The 19295-nt window shown below is 41.2% G+C and overlaps 1 protein-coding gene across 12 annotated transcripts in view; it reads left to right on the forward strand.

Annotated features, from left to right (window-relative positions):
• Positions 1-19295, forward strand: part of DNAH6 (dynein axonemal heavy chain 6) — a 360018-nt gene that overhangs the window by 333939 nt on the left and 6784 nt on the right. For all 12 annotated transcript variants that reach the window (XM_011532650.4, XM_011532649.3, XM_006711956.3 and 9 more), the window contains 5 exons: positions 2796-2915; positions 4027-4148; positions 12155-12284; positions 14905-15032; positions 18831-19016. In XM_011532650.4, the coding sequence (XP_011530952.1) occupies positions 2796-2915; positions 4027-4148; positions 12155-12284; positions 14905-15032; positions 18831-19016 (686 nt within the window). The remainder of the gene's footprint in view (positions 1-2795; positions 2916-4026; positions 4149-12154; positions 12285-14904; positions 15033-18830; positions 19017-19295) is intronic.

The following is a 19295-nucleotide window of genomic DNA, read 5'->3' on the forward strand; positions in this document are numbered from 1 at the left end:
ATCATGCAATTGGAGAAACTAGAGCTTTATGTTCCAGCGCCAAGGACCCAAGAGGAGCTTCAAGTCCGACCATATTAGATGGACCCACGACAGAGATTTAACCCAACTTTATGTTCCAAGATTTCCCAGAGGGTCGCTAAAGAATACTCCTAGGAAGCTACAGAACATCTCCTTTTTACATCTTGGAATTGCCGATACAGGGATTCAGCAACTTAACCATCAGCCCTGGTACCTACTTCCCTTCCCCTCTCCCTGAGTGGCTTGTCCAACAAGACTGACAAGAGTTACTCCAACAGGAGAGGGAAGACAGGCATCTCTACAGGATATGCAGATAAAGACATTGCTGTCTTGGAAGAAATAAATTATTGAGATTCCAAAGACTGAAATAACTTTCTCTCAACCAACCATCTCAGCTATACTACAAGGCTACGGTAGTCAAAACAGCATGATACTGGTACCAAAACAGAGATATAGATCAATGGAACAGAACAGAGCCCTCAGAAATAATGCCGCATATCTACAACTATCTGATCTTTGACAAACCTGAGAAAAACAAGCAATGGGGAAAGGATTCCCTATTTAATAAATGGTGCTGGGAAAACTGGCTAGCCATATGCAGAAAGCTGAAACTGGATCCCTTCCTTACACCTTATACAAAAATTAATTCAAGATGGATTAAAGACTTAAACGTTAGACCTAAAACCATAAAAACGCTAGAAGAAAACCTAGGCATTACCATTCAGGACATAGGCATGGGCAAGGACTTCATGTCTAAAACACCAAAAGCAATGGCAAGAAAAGCCAAAATTGACAAATGGGATCTAATTAAACTAAAGAGCTTCTGCACAGCAAAAGAAACTACCATCAGAGTGAACAGGCAACCCACAAAATGGGAGAAAATTTTTGCAACCTACTCATCTGACAAAGGGTTAATATCCAGAATCTACAATGAACTCAAACAAATTTACAAGAAAAAAACAAACAACCCCATCAAAAAGTGGGCAAAGGACATGAACAGACACTTCTCAAAAGAAGACATTTATGCAGCCAAAAAACACATGAACAAATGCTCACCATCACTGGCCATCAGAGAAATGCAAATCAAAACCACAATGAGATACCATCTCACACCAGTTAGAATGGCAATCATTAAAAAGTCAGGAAACAACAGGTGCTGGAGAGGATGTGGAGAAATAGGAACACTTTTACACTGTTGGTGGGACTGTAAACTAGTTCAACCATTGTGGAAGTCAGTGTGGCGATTCCTCAGGGATCTAGAACTAGAAATACCATTTGACCCAGCCATCCCATTACTGGGTATATACCCAAAGGACTATAAATCATGCTGCTATAAAGACACATGCACACGTATGTTTATTGCGGCACTATTCACAAGAGCAAAGACTTGGAACCAACCCAAATGTCCAACAATGATACACTGGATTAAGAAAATGTGGCACATATACACCATGGAATACTATGCAGCCATAAAAAATGATGAGTTCATGTCCTTTGTAGGGACATGGATGAAATTGGAAATCATCATTCTCAGTAAACTATCGCAAGGACAAAAAACCAAACACCACATGTTCTCACTCATAGGTGGGAATTGAACAATGAGAACACATGGACACAGGAGGGGGAACATCACTGTTGTGGGGTGGGGGGAGGGGGGAGGGATAGCATTAGGAGATATACCTAATGCTAAATGACAAGTTAATGGGTGCAGCACACCAGCATGGCACATGTATCCATATGTAACTAACCTGCACATTGTGTACATGTACCCTAAAACTTAAAGTGTAATAATAATAAAATAAAATAAAATAAAATAAATTTAATCTGTTTAGTGCATAAATTTATTAGTTTGTGTACATGCTCTGTAAATATTCAATGAAATGTTATTCATATTTAAATAAAGTCTAGATTCATATGATTAATAAATTGGAAAATAAACTAATTATAAAACAAAACAAAAAGAAAGAGAAAGAAAAAACAATTTTTTCTTCCTGACATGATGGAAGAAATAGAGATAAGAATGGATCAACAGTTGGAGGATTCAGAGGTTGACAATGTAGGTATCACAGGTGAAATCCTTCCAGGAACACTACAGTGGTGAATGGTGAATTGTAGCAATGGATCTGGAATTTTAAAGAAATTATATCAGCAATAGATTCCAGTGTGCTTCCTTGCTACACATAATTTTGGGATGACAATGGGGCACATGGAAAGTAGCTTCTCTGTGGAAAGAGAGATGGGATACCAATCAGTTATAATTCCTTATAATTACTGTGAAGTGAATTGTCCCTTTTGCTTTGAATCTATCTTTCCTCCTTACCCTGATAGCAATAATTAATAAGAAATGTATAGAGGTTGAATGCCTTGCTGCAAATACTTGATTCCATTTTACTCATTGTCTCCGAAAGAAGCACTGTTTGATGGAAAGTGTGTATGTTTTAGAATACTGCAATCAATGATAAGACTCAAAATCAGTATTTCAAAGCAAAAGAACAAAAACAAAAAAGAAATATGTAAATAGAGCTCAGTGGCTTTAGTCTCTGAAAACTAAAACAGCAAAATAATGAGAGTAGAGTACATATAGTAGATTTTTTCTACTTTTCAAAAATTGACTTCTATTATCTTTGAGGGGGTGGTGGAAGGAAATTCTGTTGTGTGCTTTCCATTTTCAGTACCAAATAAATGTGTGTATAAATAAACATTAAAAATTTAAAATTAGGTATGCCTATCAATTTTTTAAAAACAGCAATAATTTCAAAATACAAATTTCTTTTCAGGTGAAATTACTTATGGTGGTAGAGTCACAGACAGCTGGGACCAAAGATGCCTTCGTACTATCTTGAAAAGATTTTTTTCTCCTGAAACATTAGAAGAAGATTATAAATACTCTGAATCAGGTGAATGACTTTTCAATATTACAGAAAAGGCCTTTCCCAAGAAGATGTTGACAGCATCTCTCAGTTTCCCACCCAGGGGCTGTCTGTGTCAGGTCTCCACAACGCTGTTATAGCCACACCCTATCCCCATGCTTGGCCACCTTCAGAGCTGGTTTGATAGTAGGATCACAGAGATACATAGTACATGGTAACTACTTTGAATTACTTCGATTTTAAAGCTTATTGCACTGTGTCTAAATCTGTTTTCAATGTTATGTTCTAGTATGTTTTGAATGTAATCAAATAAAACATCCAGACATAGTGGCACATGTCTGTGGTCCCAGATACTCAGGAGGCTGAGGTAGGAGAATCACTTGAGCTCAGGAGTTCAAATCCAGCCTGGGCAACATAACAAGACCCAGTCTCTAAATCATAGTAAATATTATTATTACTACTATATAAAAGTTTTTAAAAAAATAAAGAAAAGAAAATGTCTATTACAGCAAGTTGAGTAAAAACCAGATCTGTGAGTTGGAGATAGTTTATTATGAGTCAGACAGCAAACAGATTAATTGTCCTGAGTGATCCCCTTGGAAGGAGCAACTTGATTAGTACAAGCTCATAAAAGCTCCTACCATAGAGCATCAGTCAGAGCTGGATTCAACTGTATATCCTGCAATCACTATAGATAGTTGAATAACCCTAGATTTCAATGTAGCTTTTAGTTTGGGCAATTAGAGAGGGCTGTTGTTGTTTATCAAACAAATATAAAAGCAATCTCTAACACAAGCATAAATTTAAGCCCTTAATGAGTTACACCTTTCAACATAAATTTGGAGCCCTTCATGAGTTACACCTTTCAGCAGCATATCCCTGGATTCTCCGCATCTTTAAATGCGCTGGAGAAGGCATCTGACAAGTTAGGACAGTAATGAGATTCTCAAGGCCTGAAGAAAAGATAACAAAACTAGACACAGCAATGAAAGCATGAAAGCTTAGGAAAAACAATCCCCCTTTCTACATGAGCCAGCTGATTGCAGCCACCATCTGCACCACACAAAGAAAAATCAAACTTGGCAGTACAAAGCCAGTCTATTTGAGACATATTTGTCTTCTGTGTTTTTAATAACAGGCATCTATTTTGCACCCATGGCTGACAGCCTACAAGAGTTTAAGGACTACATTGAAAATCTGCCTTTGATCGATGACCCAGAAATTTTTGGAATGCATGAAAATGCTAATCTAGTCTTCCAGGTATGTGGCCTTTCATCTTAAAATACATATTTATGTTGTGTATGTAAACTCAAAACATCAATAATCACCCCCACTCACTCTGGAAATTATAATCTTCCTAAATAAACAAATAAAATAATTGTTTCACCTTGACTTCAACATTTGGTTCCAATTTAGCCTGTTACCTCTGGGTCCTTCACAGAATCCTAAGACCATCATGCATTTTCCCTGTCACTGGCCAAGCCCCTACATCTCCAGGCCTTCTGCCTAGTCCATCCATAATCTACCTGATCACAGTCCAACAATTACATGAGGATTTCAATAATAATATAACCCTCTCCCTTTGCCCTTCTTCTACCAGGCTGGGCACATTTGTGTCATATTACACAAAGGTCTGTGGATCCATACGTGATTCAATTATAAAAATACAGTGACAAATGTCCAAAGCAGATAAATTAAAACATGGTTTATTAAAAGCATGATCACAGTGCCAGATCATAACCCAGAGCAAACTGGGTTGTTTTACTCCTCTGTGTAAGACCTTGTGATGCTGCACCATTACCTAAGGGTAGTCCAAGCTCTTCAGCATGCACTCGAAGCTCTCCCATGACCTAGGCCTGCTCAGAGTCACCAGGCACCAGAAGCAACCCCTGGACTTGGACTGGACCTAAAGAAGGAGTCAGTGAAGGAACCCCAGGGCACCACGTTCCTGCCATGGACCTCTGAGATCCTAGACACAGGAGTTCTTGTGACCCCCACAGACCTTTGGACTGGCAGGCAGAGCAGCCCAAAGAATAAGCAGAGGCACAGTTTGAACCCACACACAGCCCAGAAGGCTTTGCTGTGCTGTGCAGCTGCAGGATAACACTACCACACTCATCCCCCAAAGCTCTCCATGTTACACTGAGTGGCTGCAGCTCCTGCTATCTGCCAGGCCAAGAAAGAGCAGGTCCTGAGCATGCTCATGCCTCAAGACAGGCCCCACCACCACTGCTACAGGCCCAAAGTGCATCTATTCCATGCACCCCTTTGCCTGCTGGCCCCTCCCAAGACCACCTCTGAGGCCGCTCCTGTGGGAGAGTGCCCACAGCACAGCCTCCACGGCCCTGCCTGAGTGTTTTATTGGCAGCCCAGGAGTAGTTCACCACCCCCATCACAGCCAGTGCTTGACCCCTAGGGGCCAGGGGAAAAATCCACAGTTCTGGTCCCAACTCCCCAGGACTCAAGCACACCACCCAGGGATATCAAGTTGATATCTGTGGCCTGAGCTCGAGTAGGGGAACACAAGGAAGAATATGGCATAGGTTTGTATGCCAGCAAGGGAGCTGGTCACTCCTCTTTTTTTCTTTCCTTTTTTTTTTTTTTTTTGAGACGGAGTCTCGCTCTGTCATTCAGGCTAGAGTGCAGTGGCACAATCTCAGCTCACTGCAACCTCCACCTCCCAGGTTTGAGCAGTTCTCCTGCCTCAGCCTCCCAAGTAGCTGGGATTACAGGTGGCTGTCATCATGCCCAGCTAATTTTTGTGTTTTTAGTAGAGACAGGGTTTCACCATGTTGACCAGGCTGGTCTCGAATTCCTGACCTCAGGCGATCCACCTGCCTCGGCCTCCCAAAGTGCTGGGATTACAGGCATGAGCCACTGCGCCCAGCCCACCCCTCTTTTTCCAGGATGAGCATGGCCTAACAGCCACCACTTTTCCCTTACTGAGTTCCATAGCCCAGAATGCCTGGGCTGGCTCAGTGATCTGGACAAAAATGGCTTGGGACAAGCCTAGCTGGTTGGGCCTGCTACTTGGGCAGAGACTGGAGGGAGACCCACCAGGTCAGGGAACATGAGCTGGGCAGGCCCCACAACCATCCGCTGGGCTGAGAAGCCTAGGCAGCAGGTGCCATATTGGTTGTACACTGGCAGTGCCACTAACCTGTCCAGGGAGTCTCCACCTTTGAACAACTGCATCACCAAACCACCTGCAGACATACTCCACAACTCACTCTAACTTTGGCAAGCACAGGGGATAGGCAGTTACCTAAGGAGTAAATGGTCTTCTAGAGACAGTCTTTGGTGCAAAGCACCCCTAAGAAAGGAGGGAGCGCACTCCACCAAAGCCCCACTTGGGAAAAAGGAAATGGGGGTGTGATGCCAGCCACTAAAAGAGACACCACCAAGGCCTAGGAATGGACTTAAAGAGGGAGCGTCTCTCATTTTCCACCCTCACCCACATTCCCATTGGAGCCCTTCCTGTTGGGGCCTGGTAAGTGTGTGTACTTCAGTAAGCTGCTTTTCTGTGATTCTCCATTGGACCCACCCTGCTGAAAGTAACTGTGAGTTGGAGGAGCATGCTTCTCTGTTGCCTCCACCCCCACTGAGGGCTATTGCAGCTAAGAGCCTATGTGCTGGCTCTTTTAAGCCAGGACTACAGCCTGAATTACAATACCAAACAAAAATAACATTGCTACAAGCAATGCCTGTCAAACACACTGCACAAACCTCTATGTAACCAAAGAACCCATATAGAGCCTTGCCCCTCTGAAAGCACCCAGAAACAAAGCCAATTGATTGTACACAACATACACCACAGTCATATCCTCCAGGAAAAAAAAGAATAAAATGTCAAAAAACTCCATCCAAACAAGCAAATTCAAAAAGATAAAGAGGCATCAATTCCTTCAGATAAGAAGAAATCAGCACAAGAACTTCAGCAATACAAAAAGCCAGAGTGCTTTGTTACCTCCAAAGGATCACACTAGTTCCCTAGCAATGGATCCTATTCAGATTGAAATGTCTGAAATAATAGATACAGAATTCAGAATATGTATGACAAGGAAACTCAATGAGATCCAAGAGAAAGTTGAAATCCAATGCAAAGAAGCCAGAGAAATAATCCAAGGTTTGAAAGATGATACAGCTATATTAAGAAAGAACCAAACAGAGCTTCTGAAATTGAAAATCTCACTACGGGAGTATCAAAATGAAACTGGAAGTCTTAACAACAGATTAGACCAAGCAGAAGAATGAATTTCAGAGCTCAAAGTTTGGTCCTTTGAATCAACCCAGTCAGAAAAAAATAAAGAAAAGAGAATTTTTTAAAAAATGAGCAAAGGCTCTGAGAAATATGAGATTATGTAAAGTGACTAAATCTACCATTTATTATCATTCCTTGGAGAGAAAAGAAAGTATTATTCACAATAGCAAAGACTTGGAACCAACCCAAATGTCCAACAATGATAGACTGGATTAAGAAAATGTGGCACATATTCACCATGGAATACTATGCAGCCATAAAACATGATGAGTTCATGTCCTTTGTAGGGACATGGATGAAATTGGAAATCATCATTCTCAGTAAACTATCGCAAGAACAAAAAACCAAACACCCCATATTCTCACTCATAGGTGGGAATTGAACAATGAGATCACATGGACACAGGAAGGGGAATATCACACTCTGGGGACTGTGGTGGGGTGGGGGGAGGGGGGAGGGATAGCATTGGGAGATATACCTAATGCTAGATGACGAGTTAGTGGGTGCAGCGCACCAGCATGGCACATGTATACATATGCAACTAACCTGCACAATGTGCACATGTACCCTAAAACTTAAAGTATAATTAAAAAAAAAGAAAAAGAAAAAGAAAAAAAAAAAAAAGAAAGTAAGCAACTGGAAAACATATTTGAGTATATAATCCAGGAATATTTCCCCAATCTCACTAGAGAAGTTGGCATGCAGATACAAGAAATCCAGAGAACTCCTGCAAGATACTGTATGAGCTGACCATCCCTAAGACATAGTCATCAGACTTTCCAAGGTCAAATCAAAGAAAAAATCTTAAGGCATTAGAGAAAAGGGCTATATTACCTATAAGGGGAATCCTATCAGAGTAAGAGCAGACTCTCAGCAGAAAACTTAGAAGCCAGAAGAGATTGGGGGCCCATTTTTAGCATTCTTAAAGAAAAGAAATTCCTGGGCCAGGCGCAGTGGCTCATGCCTGTAATCCTAACACTTTGAGAGGCTGAGGCAAGTGGTTCGCCTCAGCTCAGGAGTTCCAGACCAGCCTGGGCAACACGGTGAAATCCTGTCTCTACTAAAATACAAAAAATTAGCTGGACGTGGTGGTGTGAACCTGTAATCCCAGCTACTCAGGAGGCTGAGACAGGAGAATTGCTTGAACCCAGGAGGCAGAGGTTGCAGTGAGCTGAGATCACGCCATTGCACTCCAGCCTGGGTGACAGAGTGAGGCTCTGAAAAAAAAAAAAAGAAAAGAAAAAAAGAAAGAAAGGGAAGGGAAGGGATTCCAGCAAAGACTTTCATATCCTGCCAAACTAAGCCTTATAAACAAAAAACAAATAAAATCTTTCCCAAGCAAGTAATCACTGAGGGAATTTGGCACCAGCAGACCAGCTCTACAAGAAATGCTTAAGGGAATCCTAAACATAGAAATGAAAGAACAATACATGTAACCACAAAATCACACATAAGTACATAGCCTACAGACTGCATAAAGCAACTACACAATCGGGACTACAAAGCAGCTAGCCAACAACACCACAACAAAAACAACACCTCACATATCAATATTAACCTTGAACATAAATGACCTAAACATTCCACTTAAAAGATATAGAATGGCAAATTGAATTAAAAAACAAGACCCATCGTTCTGCTGTCTTCAAGAGACCCATCTCACATGTAATGACAACTATAGGCTCAAAGTAAAGGGTGGAAAAAGATCTATCATGCAAACAAAATAAAAAAGAGCAGAGGATGCTATTCTTGTATCAGAGAAATCAGACCCTAAACTAACAAGAATAAAAAAGGACAAAGAGGGCATGATATAATGATAAAGAATTCAATTCAAGAAGATTTGATGATCCTAAATATATATGCTCCCAACATTGGAGCACTCAGATTTATAAAATAATTACTTCTACCTAAGAAAAGACTTTTACAGCCGCACAATAATCAGAGGAGCAGGGGGTGGGGGGACTTCAACACTCCACTGACAACATTAGATCATCAAGGAAGAAAATTAACAAAGAAATTCTAGACCTAAATTCAATACTTGACTAATTGGACCTAATAGACATCTACAGAATACTCCACCAATAACCAAAGAATATACAGTCTTCTCATCTGCACACAAAACATACTCTAATATTGACCACATGCTTGGTCATAAAGCAAGTCTCAACAAATTTAAAAAATCAAAATTATACCAAGCATCTTCTCAGAACACAGTGGAATATAATTAGAAATCAATACCAAAAGGAACTCTCAAAACCACACAAATGCATGGAAACTAAACAACTTGCTCCTGAATGACTTTTGGGTAAACAAAGAAATTAAGGCAAAAATCAAAAAATTATTTGAAACAAATGAACATAAGAGACCCAAGACACCAAAAGCTCTGAGATGCAACAAAAACAGTGTTAAGGGGAAAGTGTATAAAGCTAACTGCCTACATCAAAAAGGTATTAATAGAAAGACCTCAAATTAACAACCTAATGTTGCACCCAAAGGAACTGGAAAAATAAGAACAAACTAAACTCGAAGAATGCAGAAACAGAAAACCAAATACTGCATGTTCTCACTTACAAGTGGAAGCTAAACACTGGGTACACATGGACGTAAAGATGGGAACAATAGACCCTGGGGACTCCAAAAGGGGGGAAAAGGAAGGAAGAAAAGAGTTGAAAAACAACCTGTTAGATACTATGTTCACTATTTGGGTGATGAAGTTCAATAGAAGCCCAAACCTCAGCACCATGCAATATATCCGTGTAACAAATGTGCACGTGTACCCTCTGAATCTAAAATGTTTTTTTAAAAATTAAGACAAGTGGCAAATCAAAACATTTTTGAAACAAAAAACAGAAAATTTAGCTTTCTATATTATAGAATTATCTTATAAATTAATAATAAATAATAAAATGCTAAAAATCAAAAATGTTAAAAAAACATTATGAATAATTCATAAAGGAGTAATATAGATGGTCAATGAACATATTTTTCAATATTTAAATACTTAAAGTGCAAAAAATGAGAAACTATTTTATCCATTAAATTAGAAACATTTGTTTAAGTAATAATATTAATTCTTGCGAAGACATAGAAAGGCTTTATGATACACTATTGTTGGAAATATAAATTGATACAATGTTTTTAGAAATTAATATGGTAATACCCAGTTTTAAAATATCGCCTCTACTTAATCTATCATTTAAAGAATTTCAAAAATGGTGGATGAAATTCATACAAACATATTCTATTCCCGAAGTGTAATAAGATCAGCTGGGCACAGTGGTTCACGCTTGTAATCCCAGCACTTTGAGAGGCCAAGCCACGTGAGTCACTTGAGGCCAGGAGTTCGGGACCAGCCTGGCCAACATGGTGAAACCCTGTTTCTACTAAAACTATAAAAATTAGCCAGGCGTGGTGACAGGTGCCTGTAATCCCAGCTACTTGGAGGCTGAGGCAGAAGAATCGCTTGAGCCTGGGAGGCAGAGGTTGCAGTGAGTCAAGATCACGCCACTGCACTCCAGCCTGGGCAACAGAGTGAGACTCCATCTCAAAAAAAAAAAAAAAAAAAGTCTAATAAAATCAAAAAACTAGAAATTTCCAAAAAATAGATAAGTAACTCATATTAATTACAATGCATTTATACCATAATTAGTATCACATTGTCACTTAAATTATCACAGTCACTTAAAGCATGGTTCATGAGGATTTTTCAGTGATATTAGAAGACTCATAATATTGAAAATGAATTAATATTACATAAATTTATTAGCTCAATTTTGCAAACTTTATGCACATATATACAGAAAGTGTCCAAGTTGAAGTAAGCTATAGTTTATTTAATTAAATATTACTTCATTATAAGTAATTATATCTGGAAAGTAAGTATCATGAATATTTTTTATTTATATTTTTCTACCTTCAAATTTTTCTGTAATAAGCCGTATTTTTCTAATTTTAAAAAAAAGTTAATTGAATAAAAGAATGACCTGAAACTGTGTTCTCATGATTTTTCCCTCACTTTCATAATTTCTTTTAACTGATCAACTTAAAAATGTTTAACCATTCTTTATTGTAGTAAAATATGTATAACAGAAAATATACATTTTAATCATTTTTAAGCATACAGTTCAGTGGCATTAAGTACATTTATTTATTTATTTTTATTTTATTTCCTTTTGAAATAGGGCCTCCCTCTGTTGCCCTGGCTAGAGTGCAGTGGGGAGATCATAGTTCACCACAACTTCTAATTCCTGGGATCAAGCTATTCCCCATTCAGCCTCCCAAGTAACTAGGACCACAGGTATACACCACCACACCCAGCTAATTTTTTTTTTTTTATAGGGACAGAGTCTTACCATGTTGCCCATGCTGGTCTCAAACTATTGGGCTAAAGCAATCCCTTTTGGGCTAAAGCAGTCTTCCTGCCTTGACCACCCAAAGTGTTGGGATTACAGGCATGAGCCACTGGGCCTGGCCCATTAAGTACATTTACATTGTTGCTCAACAAAAAAATTTTTAGTATAACAGTAACAACTATGTACTAGGCATTTCCAATGACCACATTTTACCAACTCTACCTCCAAGACAGAAAATAAAATTTCCTTAAGCCAGTCACAAAAAGACAAATACTGCATGATTTAACTTTTATGGAGTTATCTAAAATAGTCAAATTCATAGAATTAAAGAGTGGAATGGTAGTTGCCAGGGGCTGGGGAGAGGGGGAAATGGGGAGTTACTAATCAACAGGCATAAAGTTGCAGTCAAGCAAGATGAATCAGCACTAGAGATCTTTTGTGCAACATTGTACCTATAGTCAGCAATAATTACTGTCTTAATTTGTTAAGAGGGTAGATCTCATGTTAATTGTTCTTACCACAATAAAATAAAGTGAAAATAAATAATATGGTTTTAGAGAACTGCCTTTACTTTTGTAAATAATTATGTGTGCTGCAAATTTGTTTTCTGAGAATTTGAGTCTTCACTGTTCTGTCTCTTATTGCCATTACAGTACAAAGAGACCAGCACTTTAATCAACACCATACTTGAGGTTCAGCCAAGGTCATCTACTGGTGGAGAGGGAAAAAGCAATGACGAAATTGTTCAAGAACTTGTTGCTTCTGTCCAGACCAGAGTTCCAGGTAATAAATAATTCTAGGAATCTGTATGTAATGGGAATTTTAGGAATAAACTCAGAGAACTGAGTGATAAACAGGTGTCAAAACCTGCTTATTATGTAGACTTTTTTTAACCTAAAGAGCTCTTTTGACATGGAGCTCTTCATTTATAGACTAGAAGCTTACAGCATCTCAACATCTCAACTGCCAGAAGCATTAGGAGGAAATTGGTTTCCAGCTCAATGTAACTTTAACCAGACTCTTTCCTGAGCTTCCCTTGGTTTCATTATTCTACTGTCTCTAGACCTGTGCTGTGGAAGAAAATAGCCACTAGCCAATATGGCTACCTAAATTTAAACTTAATGTAATTTAAAATTCATTTCCTCATTTGTACCAGTCACATTTCAAGTGCTATCATATTGGACAGTATAGAGATAGAGAACAATTCCACTAAAAGCTCTACTAGACAGTCCTGCTGTAGAATCCATTTAAATTTTTTCTCCACTTAGAAGACATATGGCTAAATTACTTTCACCTTGTTTTCTGATAAGTGAAAGAGTCTTCCCAGGCCGGGCACAGTGGCTGATGCCTGTAATCCTAGCACTTTGGGAGGCCAAGGCAGGCGGATCACAAGGTCAGGAGATCAAGACTATCCTGGCTAACACGGTGAAACCCCATCTCTACTAAAAATACAAAAAATTAGCCGGGCGTGGTGGCGGTCGCCTGTAGTCCCAGCTACTCTGGAGGCTGAGGCAGGAGAATGGTGTGAACCCGGGAGGCGGAGCTCGCAGTGAGCCGAGATCACACCACTGCACTCCAGCCTGGGTGACAGAGCAAGACTCAGTCTCAAAAAAAAAAAAAAAAAAAAAAAAGGTCTTCCTGAATGATCACAAGAGATCTATTTTAACACTTTTCTTAGATCGATAGGAGATTTAGATGTCTTCATTATTCATGGTTGGAAGAGATGTCATTATAGGAAAAAGAAAATTGAGGCAGAAAAAACAGCAACTGAGTCCTGCTAATGCCCTTAAAGCCCCTGGAAGAAAAGGAGCCTTGTGGTTTCAGAAGTCAGTTATCTGCCTCCTAGAAGCAGGCCCTCAAGAGAATGTCTACTTGGGTAGAGAATTCTGTTGTTGAAGCAAACAGAGTCATTAAATATAAGATCAATAAATATAAGATAGAGTGCTGGTTGGGAAAAGGATGGAGAGATGAATGGATAGCTGCAGAGACCATGCACTTGTTTGGTAGAATCCCACTGACACCTAGGAGGGTTTTCTCTCCAGGCTTCATAAAGCTTGTACTTTTACTGTGAAATGCTAAGCAGATCATCTGCTGAGACTGAAGGGGCAGGAAAACAATTGGCTCAGCAAAAGAACTGAGGGTTTGAAATAGCCCTGAGAGGAATGGTGGAAAGAGAAGACCAGGGACATGTAACCACAGCACAGCGGACCCAAGAGATTAGACTCATTGGCACTGCTGTGGGATTTTTGTCCAGCAGCCAAATGTGTGTGGTCAAGAAGGAATTTGATACATGTATGTCATAGCCATTTGTTTACACATACTTTTCTCAAATACGCAAGAAAAAGGCTGTTCCTTCCTCTTTCGTAGCTCATATCGTTCTTCATCTGAGCCTGCATTTGGTGGATTGTAGGGAGAAAGAAGAGCTACATTTTCCATCCAGTTTGAACTATGGGCCTGTTTAATAATGCAGTCAGTCCCTTTAAATAATGCCCAGTAACATGCGATAAACACTAAGTCTCTCTCCTGTCTCAGTCTCCTGCCCCCAACCTTTCCTATGCAGTGCAGGTGAGCAGGGAAGTGGGAGATTTAAACGCTTGTATGGTAGAGGGGGAGACTTAGGGTCCCTGGGCCGTCTAGTCTCTGGAATGTTCCTTGTCTGCCAGGCAACCGCTTCATCCTGCTAGCATTTACCACTGAAGCCTTCAGGGCTCTGCCTCCCAATCAGCCAAAGCCAGGCACACCTTCCTATGCCCTCCTGCCAACCCCCTCATTCCACATTGGAGACCTTTCAAACCCCTCATCAAACTTGCAGATACCACTGAGCCATGCTGACCTTCCATTACATCCTCTTCCCTCTCAACCCCTCACCTCCTCCCCACAGTCAACCAGAATGAAAATAAGCAGGCTTCTCCTTCCTTTTTCCAGTCCTCCTTCTACATTAGCACAGCCAGTCTTTCTATGATCTCACTTAAGCAACAAGGACCTACCTCTCCTGTCCCAGGGCCATAGATCACATAGCTCACACTGGCTGGGAAGATGAAAATACCCATGGGGAACATGCTTTAAGGGAAGAAACAAAATGCAATGGTTTAATGTTTGAGAAAAAAAAGTGTATATATATGTGTGTGTGTGTGTGTGTGTGTGTGTGTGTGTGTGTGTATGCCCTGATACACTGATACACATGAATTTAAACATAATTTTCTGTGATTGCTTCTATATAAACACAGTTGAATCACAAAAGCATTCTAAATTATAGAAACATCACATTTAAATCCTATGTATCTGGCTTAAACAATGAGAGAAGCTGGCTTTTTAAAAATGTTAAGATAAGCACATTGCCTTAGCAATATTGTGAGAACAAATCAATGGTGACTGGCCTGAGGAATCGCTGTGTATGTTTCAGAAAAACTGGAAATGGAGGGTGCTTCTGAGAGCCTTTTTGTCAAGGATCTTCAAGGACGTCTGAACTCCTTGACCACCGTTCTTGGACAGGAAGTGGACCGGTTTAACAACCTGCTGAAGTTAATTCATGTATGAGAGCTTACTTTCATCATTGCTATTGAGCATCAAAGCTTTGTAGAGAGTTGTATAATATGAAATTCTTCCATTCCCATCACTTCAGCATTTCCATTTGGATACACTAACAACTCTTCAAGCCCAATGAGTCTAAAAATGAATTTATCCTTCTCTAATGAATCTGTATTCCCATTTTCTAATAATGATGGAGTGAATATGTAACATTACAAATTCTCAGTCTCCTCCTTATCCTTACACCCTTAGATTCTATTGACTCACTAGAAATTGTTCAGAGACCTAAGCACTCAATTAAGAGTAATTCAGTGTTTGTTCCTAATGTCTAGTTTGCATTTCATAACATAGTCTTTAAGCGAGACTGTGAAAACCATAATCTGTCAAAGTGTGGGCCACAGAATGCCTGCATTAGAGTCCCCTGTGGTGTGTTCAACATGTGGATTACTTGATCCCACTCAAGACCTACTGAGTTAGAATTTCTTGAAGCAGGGCCTGGGAATATGAATTTTAAATAAACTCCCCAGATAATTTTAATGTCACTAAAATTTGCAAACACCTGTTTGATCTTCTGCTTTATGTTCATAGATACTTTCTCTCTGCATTGCCTTGCATTTGTAATGATGGTCAAAGGCCTTCCTAGTTTCTCTGTGCATAACTTTGATAAGAGAAAAAGAATAACTATTAGAAAATATTGAGCATTGACAGGAAAAGTGTTACTGCTAAGCAGGGAACCAAACACCTACTTCAAGGTCAAGACTTGGGGATAAGATTGGGGGAGAACTGGGAGAGATCTTTTACAGCTAAAGACCATTTCTGTTCCCTATCAGAAAGGCAAAGTCTCCGGAAGTTGCTGCTTGGCTGGCAATACCTAGGCTTGTTGGTTAGGCGGGTCAGCTGAGTATGTAGTCTTCACCTTGGGACTATGGCATCTAGTCAGGTATGCACCAAAGTCAGCAGGCTAAGTCTCTCTCCTCTCTCAGTCTCCTGGTCAGGTCACCAGGTCAGGGCTTATTTCCTTCTATATTGAATGAATTGGGGTACAGACTAAGCTGCTATGATAAAGACCCCCATAACATAGTCCAAAACAAGAGAAAAATTCACTTTACTCTCCCCTAACAGCCCTGAGGGAGCCCTGTCTAGGGCAGGTAGTTAATTCTGCTTTGTGAGCTCATCCAGGGATAAACAGGTTGGCTCTTCCAGTCTCAACAGACAACTTCTGTGTCTGGGTCTAAGGTGGCTGCCCCAGTTGTCCCCTTTTGCCAGCCAGTGGGAAGCAGGAAAGAGAGAGGCAAGGAAAAGCAGCTTCCTTATAAAAATGTGATCCAGTGGTAGTATACATCCTTTCTTCTTATATCCCATTAGCCAAAACTTGGTCACATGACCACAGCCCAGCCTCAAGGGTGGCTGGGAAAGGAGTCTCTCGATGGGGTGCTATGTGCCCAGCTAACACTAAGGAGGTGCTTTTGTTCTGAGGAACACCAGCTTATGTCTTGCCCTTTCCACATCATGAACTTTCACCCACTTGAATTTAAGTCCAGATGTCACTTATCCATAATGTCTTCCTGGAGACCAGCCCTTCCCTCTACTGCCAGATGAATTAGGGTCCCATCCTCAAGGCCCCATCATCTCAGGTCTCTGTGTCCACCACTGTATTCATTACATTTTTTGTAATTTCCCCCCTATGAGTATGGCTACTCTAACAAAGAATTTCTTAAAAACAAGGGAGATGTTACACTCGTCATCTTTGTTTCCTTAGTAACTGACATACTAAATCTTCCGTGAATATTTGAATGTACAAGTGAACAAATGTGACTCTCAGGTCTCCTTTGGTCACTTTTTCTGGTCAAACAAACCCCAGTCCACCACTAACAGAGGAATTCCCCTAATGGAAGCATAAGGGGAGGAGCCCAGGGACAGGTGACCTGCAGGGCCATCAGGAATCACAGCCAAGCATTCCCATCAGAAGGGAGGTGCTCACCACGGCATGCTGTAATTGCCAGAGGCCTTCCTCACCTGACCTCTAGTCCTAGACCTCAGGCCTGGTCCTGCCTTGCCATGGCTTTGTTCCCAGCCTCACCTTCCCTTCCCCTTGGGAACAGCCAGGCAGTACTATGGTGGCAATAAGAAAGCCAGGGGAAGGGAGCAGCACCCAGGAGTCTTGGGGAATGCCATCCTGGTGAACCCACTCTCCTCCAGACAGAACCGTGGGATAGGACAGGTCCTAGGAGTGACAAGGCCACCCTGTGTAGGCTTCGAGCCATAGGAGAAGGAAAGCCTTTGAAGTACTCTTTCTCCCACTTAATACATCTGTGTGTTGGCTGCCTCCTTTGGGAGAATCGACTGCAACATGACCTCTTTCTATTTTAAGCAGACCTTGAAGATCTCAGCAGTCTGCTCCCTCCACCTCTATCATTTTTTGTGTTCTCTCTGCATTTTAGATGAGTCTTCTGCTACTTCTTCCTATTTCCAGGTCTATCATGGAGGATGGTCTTGGCTCTGGCTAAGGGCCTCTTTCCTGCACTCTGCTGCAGATGGTTCCTCAGATCCTAAGGACAAATCTAAGTAAAACACTTCTTTTTTCTACCACTACCTCTTGTGAAAAGAGGTACAGGGAGAAGGGAACCAACAAATAAATCTGTGAAAGAATGGAAGGACACGTAGCCTTGTTTCATCCACACAATGCCTGTCGCTAAGATGCTGTGCATGTGGTCCCAGGCCTTATTTGGTTGCTTAGTCAACATAAATTTTGCCTCTAACGTCTTCCTATTATATTTTCCCAATATATGGCAGTTTTCACAACACTGCGACCCATGGGGGCCATAACCCAACTATATGCTCTCCCTTGTCTTTAGCCAGGTGGCAAACATCGCCCTGTACTCCACTCCAGCCCAGTGTCTCCCAGGACTGTGGCCTGCCTCCATCTTCTGGTGAGAGAAGGAGAGGCTTGGAGACATGTTTTAAGGAGGTGTTTCCAGTTCAAGGAGACCCTCTGATGCCAGCTGGAAGATTAGTCTCATCTAAGACTCTCCCCTTTCCAGCCGGGCACGGTGGCTCACACCTGTAATCCCAGCATGTTGGGAGGCTAAGGTGGGCAGATCTCCTAAGGTCAGGAGTTCGAGACCAGCCTGGCCAACATGGCAAAACCACATCTCTACTAAAAATACAAAAATTATCTGGGCATGGTGGCACATGCCTGTAATCCCAACTACTTGGCAGACTGAGACAGGAGAATCACTTGAACCCAGGAGGAGGAGGTTGCAGTGAGCCGAGATCATCCCACTGCACTCCAGCCTGGCGACAGAGCAAGATTCTGTCTCAAAAAAAAAAAAAAAAAGGAATCTCCTCTTTCTGCACTAACTCTGGGGTTTGGGGGAACCCTCTGAGCAAAAATGACCAGTAGCATGAGGTGGTTCTCACTCCCCATCTCCCCCTCCTCCTCACACTCTGTGCTTCCCAAATCACAGTCAGGCCTATTTTTCTTTTGGCCTGGAGGAGTGCTGGACAGTGGCATTTCTCCCAGCCACTTCTCCAGGCTTCAGGAGACATTTCTGCTTCCTTCTTTCCACTGCACTGGACTCTGCTTTCAACTGCCACCCTCAAGTGTTACACCGCAACGGTCACGTATTGTAGTAATGCGTGAAATATTGGAGGGTCTGGCCCAGCAGACAGTGTGCAAAGAGGATAGAACCTAGCAACTGGCGCCTCCAGGCAAGGCAGCCCCTGCTGTCATTAATGTGTGTCACTGACACTGGATAATGACATCTGCAAAGGCCACCAACCCCTTTTTTGTTCTTTCAGACTTCTCTGGAAACACTCAACAAAGCCATCGCTGGATTTGTGGTGATGTCTGAAGAAATGGAAAAAGTGTATAACAGTTTCCTCAACAACCAGGTTCCCGCTCTGTGGTCCAACACAGCCTACCCATCCCTGAAGCCACTAGGATCATGGGTCAAAGACCTTATCCTGAGGACCTCATTTGTGGATGTAAGAAAATTCCTTTCACTGGGTTTTGATGAATCTGATGGCATAGTTGGCCTAAGGTCCCTAGGAAGCACTGGCTAAAGATATCCACAGTCACTGATGGATAATCTGAGCCCAGAGAAAAAGAGATGTCCAGAATGGCATCACTTTAAAAGTCTTATACTGATTATAATATCGTTTGCCCTAGGCACTCATCCCCACCTTCCACTTTAATTCCAGGCATCCTTGGGGTTTCAGCTCTAATTCATGGGACCCCACAGTGAGGTATAGACCAACCAAGAT

The sequence above is a fragment of the Homo sapiens genome, chromosome 2, assembly GCF_000001405.40.
Source record: "Homo sapiens chromosome 2, GRCh38.p14 Primary Assembly".
NCBI classification, from domain to species: domain Eukaryota; kingdom Metazoa; phylum Chordata; class Mammalia; order Primates; family Hominidae; genus Homo; species Homo sapiens.